This window comes from Homo sapiens, chromosome 9 (assembly GCF_000001405.40).
Source record: "Homo sapiens chromosome 9, GRCh38.p14 Primary Assembly".
In the NCBI taxonomy this organism is placed as follows: Eukaryota; Metazoa; Chordata; class Mammalia; order Primates; family Hominidae; genus Homo; species Homo sapiens.
Window position 1 is genome coordinate 129,482,428 of NC_000009.12, and position 6,075 is coordinate 129,488,502.

At 59.0% G+C, this 6,075-nt stretch overlaps 3 annotated features.

The window, feature by feature from the left end:
- Positions 3,683–3,977: a silencer, noted in NCBI's record as "tiled region #12687; HepG2 Repressive non-DNase unmatched - State 8:EnhW, and K562 Repressive DNase matched - State 6:EnhF". NCBI's record gives its function as "represses a minimal TATA promoter and a strong SV40 promoter by Sharpr-MPRA in HepG2 and K562 cells {active_cell/tissue: HepG2 | K562}" and the evidence as "EXISTENCE:reporter gene assay evidence [ECO:0000049][PMID:27701403]".
- Positions 4,091–4,750: an enhancer, noted in NCBI's record as "H3K4me1 hESC enhancer chr9:132248797-132249456 (GRCh37/hg19 assembly coordinates)". NCBI's record gives its function as "activates a minimal SCP1, AML or CMV promoter by ChIP-STARR-seq in naive H9 embryonic stem cells {active_cell/tissue: H9 hESC(naive)}" and the evidence as "EXISTENCE:reporter gene assay evidence [ECO:0000049][PMID:30033119]".
- Positions 5,411–6,070: an enhancer, noted in NCBI's record as "H3K27ac-H3K4me1 hESC enhancer chr9:132250117-132250776 (GRCh37/hg19 assembly coordinates)". NCBI's record gives its function as "activates a minimal SCP1, AML or CMV promoter by ChIP-STARR-seq in naive H9 embryonic stem cells {active_cell/tissue: H9 hESC(naive)}" and the evidence as "EXISTENCE:reporter gene assay evidence [ECO:0000049][PMID:30033119]".

Consider the following 6,075-nt stretch of genomic DNA (forward strand, 5'->3'; position numbering starts at 1 on the left):
ATTGGGGTCGCGCACGCGCCCGGTGTCCCTAGGACTGGGATCCCCGTTAGGGTTAGGGGCGTGGGGGGTCGGGGGCCGCGGGGCTGTGCGTGCCGGGGCGCACGGTTTTGCTCCGCGGGCCTCTCTCGCTCCCTCGCGCCGGCTTTTTCCCTTTTTCTCTTTCCTTTTTTTCTTTCCTGGAGCGGAGCCCGGCGCCAGGAGTCTGGAACCAGCTTGACAGGCTTTTGAGTTATGGAGGGGGGAGGGGGAGAGGCGGGCGGCGGGGAGGGGGAAGGGAGGGCGCCGCCGCGGCGTGGGGGCGGGGCCGGCTCCCCGGTTTGGAGACTCGCCCCGACTTTGGGGTCCGCCAGCGGCGGCCGGGCGGAGGGCGGGGGACCGCAATCGTGGGGGGAGTCACCCCGCGGGGCCCGGCGGGCGAAACGGGCCGGGCTTCAGAGCCGCAGTAAATGAGGCCCGGGGCGGGCGGGGGTGGACACGGCCTCGGGGCCACGGCCTCCCCCGCCGAGCAAGGCATTCCTTTCCGCTGAACTGGGCGCCCGGGCCCGCGCCGCGCCCTGCACGCCTCGCGCCCGGCGATCGGGCCCAGGGCGGGGGAGCAGGGAGGCGGCCCCAGCCGGTCGCCGGCGCCCCCAGGCGCTGCTTCCCAGGAGCTCGGCTCCCCGGGATGGAAGGGACTGATACCCAGTTAATGGGCGTGGAGCCTGAGCCCCTGAGGGTCGTCGCTAACGGGGGTCGCTCAGCAGGGCCGGCCTCCGCTGCCTGCCCGGGGTGTCTAATCACCTCTCCGATCCTTTGCCCGGATCTGAGCTTCGTCATTCACGCCCCTCCTCCCTGGCGACTTTGGGCCTGGTGACAGTCCCCCGACCCTCGCAGAGCCAGGGGCACAGTAGGCGCCTTAGCCACTGGCAGAATTTCACCGGCGCTCTGCCCGACGCCCCCAGCCCCAGGGCCGGGCGTGGGTGGAAGTGTCTGGAAGGGTGGGTTCACCAGGGCTGGGCACGTCAGCGGCCCCGTACAGAGAATCCGGTGCCTGGGGTCTCTGGAGGGGGTACTCAGAGTATCCGAGGAGGAGACTCCTGGATGCTAACAGAGCCCCCAGTTAGGAGCAGTCCGCGAGACAGTTGGTAACAGTGCTGGCCTTGCCCGGGCGCCGGAAGGTTCCGTGAGGCCCAGCAAGTCCTGACTTGGCACAGGGCCCAGCACACGGTAAGCGCTCGGTACTTGGTCACTGTTGCTTGATTTTACCATTTCGGAGGGGCTCATCTACGCCTAGCAAAGCCCCCCTCCCGGTGACCCAAGGGGAGCTCCAGAATGTTGAGCGGCTGAGCGGCCTGGCTCCTCCTCTCGACCCCATCGAGCCAAGTGTCGAAATCATCCCAGACGAAGCTGCTGAGCAGAAATTTCCAGTCTCCCTGGCAAAGCTGGGAAGATTTTGGGTGCGGCTCAGAGACGCAGCTGGGTCGGCTCTGTGGGGCCAGGGCTGGGGAGGGACCCCAAGATGTTCTATGAGACCCAAGCAGCACCCCCAACTTGGGTTGGGGGCGTTGGGGGGTGGAGCCTGGCCTCCTGCTGAGCCCCAGAGCTGATACAGCACAGGTAAAAGCCCATTGTTCTCAGTGGTCCACAGAGGCTCAGGGCAGGAGCAAGATCAGGGTTCGGGTGCTGGCGCCACCCCTCGTTTAGCCCCTACCTGGGATCTGAGGGAGCACCCATCCTTGGAATGCAGGATAATAGGGTTGCTGTGAGGATGGAAGGAGACTGTGCCCATGAACACTTGACACAGCTCCCTGCCCTGGGGAAAGCACCCAGGAAATGCGGGCTGTTTGTCTTAGTGATGTTCCACTTAATAGCACTTGCGGTGGCTCCCTGGCCCCCGAGGAGCCCACCTTGCCAGTTCTTGGCCACAAGAGTACGAGCCCCTCTGTCAGGACGGTGGGTCTCATTGAGGCCATCCTTATCCTGAGCAACCTAAAGAACTCACATGGAACTTAGCAAACAGGCAGACCCTTGCCTTGTTCTCAGGGCTGTGTGATCCCGGGTGAGCAACTCGGCCTCTCTGAACCTGGTTCTCCTCTGCAAAACAGAGATGATGGCCTGGGACCCTCTCCCACTACAGGGAAGTAGCATTGGAGGGGGAAGAGACAGGGGGAGCGTCCCAGCACTGCCCAAAATTGGACAGGTGACTTTGGACAAGTCTGAATGAGACTGAATAAGACAAAACGGAGTAACATTAGAGCTTGCTGGCTACTCTCTGCCCTGGGCCGGTGCTAGATGTTTTACATGCACTGTTAATCACTGTTACTCGTGGAGGGAGATTTTATTATTAACTTTCTTTTCCAGATGAGGTAACTGAGGCTCAGAGAGGTTGATTCACTTTCTCAAGGACACACAGCTAGGAAATGATAGAGTCACGATTCAAACCATCATTTGTTGGCTTAGAGCCTGAATCCCTAAAGAAAAAGCAGGCAGGGTGTAGTGGCTCACGCCTGTAATCCCAGCAGTTTGGTAGGCTGAGGCTGGAGGCTCACTTGAGCCCAGGAGTTTGAGACCAGCCTGGACAACGTGGCGAAACCTCATCTCTACAAAAATACAAAAATTAGCCCGGCCTGATGGAGCGCGCCTGTAGTCCCAGCTACTCAGGAGGCTGAGGTGGGAGGATCACCTGAGCCTGGGGAGGTCAAGGCTGCAGTGAACCGTGATCGCGCCCCTGCACTCCATACAGCCTGGACAGCAGGATGAGACTCCGCCAAAAAAAAAAAAAAAAAAAAAAAAAGAGAGAGAGAGAGAGGAAGAAAAAAGGAAAGAAAGAAAGAAGGAAAAAGAGAAAAAGCAACTTTAATTTTTTTAATATAACATTTTAAAGTCCCTACTGTGTGCAGGGCATCAAGGTAGGTGGCAACAAAAACGAAGATGCCAGGACCCCAGCCTTTGAGATGCTCATAGCCGAGTGGGGACACAAGACTTGGAGGAGGCGCTCCTGAGAGTTAGATGTGAAAAGCAGCACCCTAGAGGCGTCCACCAGAGCTGAGGGCACCGGGAGAGAGAGAGGTGGGTTTTGGTGTAGGGGATGGGGAGGGAGGAGAGCTGGTGGGGGAGGCACAGAGGCCAGGGGACAGCAAAGGCTGCTCTTGAGAAATCTCAGTGGAGGGCACTGGGCCATTCCCAGAGGTTGGCACAGCAAAGCCAAAGGCATGGTGGCAGGAGAGGAGGCCATGCTCTGAGGAAGGGCCCGCAGCCCAGCGTCAGGGAGGGTAATGGGGAGGGGAAGGAGAATGGTGTTGCCGAGCCTGGGCCAGCCTGCAAAGGCTGGAGGAAGCTACCTTGCTTTATAAAAATGGGGAGCCATCGAAGGCCTTTGAGCAGAGGTGGATGTCATCCTATGGAAGTTTTACAAAGACAGCTCCATAAGCAGAGAAATGTCCCAGAAATGTACACGAAACCTAGAATGACAGCGTCAGGATGTACTGCATGAACTTTTACAATGCTTCCTTTAAAAAAAATGGTTTTGTGTTTTTTTGTCTGTGTGTGTGTGTGTGTGTGTGTGTGTGTGTGTGTGTGTGTTTGCCCTGTATAGGTATGACTATTCTAACAAAAGAAGGGAGGACATTTTCAAAAGACAGAGGGGAGCCAGGAGGCAAAGAGACACAGGCAGCAGGAGGGAGCCCAGAGCTGGCGGGCCAGGCTGCCCCTCTCACTGCAGGTCTGGCTGTTTGGGTGATGGGCCATCTGGCAGGTCTACAAGGAGCCCAGCAGGCAGGGCGGTGCGGCCTCTGAGATCCCTCTCTTACCTAGAGCCTGAGCCTTGCCTGACCCATGACAGTTTCAGGCTGTTCCCCCTCCTCCCAGCAGTCTGTCCCTACCAAACTCCACTCCATGGGTTAGACTGTGGGACACAGACTGATCCTTAAATCCCATTCTGGGCCAAATGGGGACAGTGATTCCAGAGGCCTCCCTACGTCCGTGAGGACACATCACCCTATGACAGAGCCCCAGCCACCGTGCTAGGTGCTGTACAGGCAGTGTCTCTTGATCTGAATATAAACCTGAAAAAAAAATGTTATTTTCCCAGTTTTGCAGATCAGGAAATAGAGGCCCTCACAGTGAGGAGGGAGGGGGAATTCTCACCCAGGATGGACCCACCCAAGAGTGCGGATGGACCACTAGGCTGTACTGCCTGGGGCCCTTTAGGAGAAAATCCGTCCTCCCAGTCTCCCCAGGTCTCTTGCCTTTGGCCTGCTCTGGTTCCTGTTATAGAATGGGGGCTGCAGGTAGGCACCCCTCTGAGCTAGTCCCCTGTCCTTGGGCCGCCTCTCCTAGGCAAACTCCTATTTAGCCCGTGAAGCCCAATTAAATTATCGCTTCCTCTCCCGAGTCCTCTGGCTGCACCCCTGTCCTCTTCTCTGTGTTCCTGCGGAGCTCCCAAAGGGAGGGGAGAAAAGGCTCAGGGGACATGGCTGGGACACAACTTCCAGCCCAGCCCTGCGTGGGCAGAGAGGAGGGAACAGTCCATCTATTCTAGGCTGGACGTGAGAGGGAGGACGGCCTTGGCTCAACCCGGGGTAAGGCAGGCTGACCAGCCCCTGGGGTTATTTGGCTTGGCAGTCAGAGGAGGACAAGTTGCAGGAGAGAGAATCAAAGATTCAGGCTGCCTAGTGTGGCCACCGCCCCATCAGCCCTAAGATGATCGCAGCCCCTTTCTGGCCACTGAATATGTGGGCACCCCAGACCTCTGTGGCAAGGCTGGGTGAGAGCTGTCTTTTGTGCACAGGTGCCCCTAGTCCCCCACCACTAGTGAGCATTCACACACAGAGGTGAACAGCCCCCTTGTGGGCCTGGAGGCTCCTAGGCCAGGTAGAGATGACCAGAGTAGGGAGCAGAGAATCCCCAGTGCCTAGCACAGTGACTGGCACTGAAGCATTTGTTGGATGAATGAATGAGTGATTGCCTGACCTCAGGCCCAGGGAGGAAGGCCTGGTGTGCAGGGCAGCTCCTGGGAGGCTTCAGGGATGGGGAGAGGACAGAGAGGGACTGGGAGAGCCACAGGAAGGCAGCCTCATCTGATGACTGACTTGGGAGGGAAACAGAATGTGGGCTGTGTTTCTGGGGAAACACCCCCCTGATGCCCGGGCACCCAGGAACTTCCAGGTACCCCCGGATCACCCCAGTGAGGACACTCCACAATTCCCCAGGAGGCATCACAGTGGGGCCGTTAAACCCAGGGACTTGGGATTCAGACACTTCTGGGCTCCAGTCCACCCCTCACTGGCTGGACCAGTTGCCTCAGTTTCCCTATGTGCACGGGGGACGGATAGGACCACGTGCTGCACAGGTTTGCTGGGAAGGCCATATGAGAGGTGCCGGCTCAGCACATCCTGTCTGCCATTGTTACAAACAACAGCACGGGAGAGTCGGGGAGCAGAGTCGGCCAAACGCAAGACCCTGGGCTCTGGCTTCCCTGTGCTACTGACCTATGGGGTGGCTTTGGACAAGGCCCAGCCTTTCTCCAGGCCTTAGTTTCCCCATTTGTACAGTCAGGCCCTGCTAACTTGGACAGACTTTGGCCCTTCTCCAAGCCCCACAGAGACATCAGAGACATGTGCACACACGGCCCTGGGATTGCCGACAGACACACAGGCACACATAGGCACGTACACACAGGCATACAGACACAGGCACAGACTCACACTCGGCCCCTCCCCACTCACACTCGCTCACACTCATGCTCACACTCACACCAACCCCCCTCCCCCAAATCTGCTGCGCACCAACGGTTGGTGCGAGCGGGGTTGAGAACGGGAGGAAAAAAGCCCACGACTCAGCCCGGGAAGAGGGGTGCGGTGGGGGAAGGGCGGGCGAGGGAAATGACAGCCCGCGGTCCCCCTCGAGTCCCGGCTCATGAATATTAATACGGCGGTAATTAAAATGCAGGGACGCAGCAGGATGGATGCGGCTGCCTCCGGAGCGCGGGGGAGCGCGGAGTCTTTGCAGGCGGGTGAAGCCCGCTCCTCGCCGGCGAAAAGCGGGGCCGGGCTCCGGGGCCTGGGTCCGGGGCGGGCGGGAGTGGGGACATTTTTC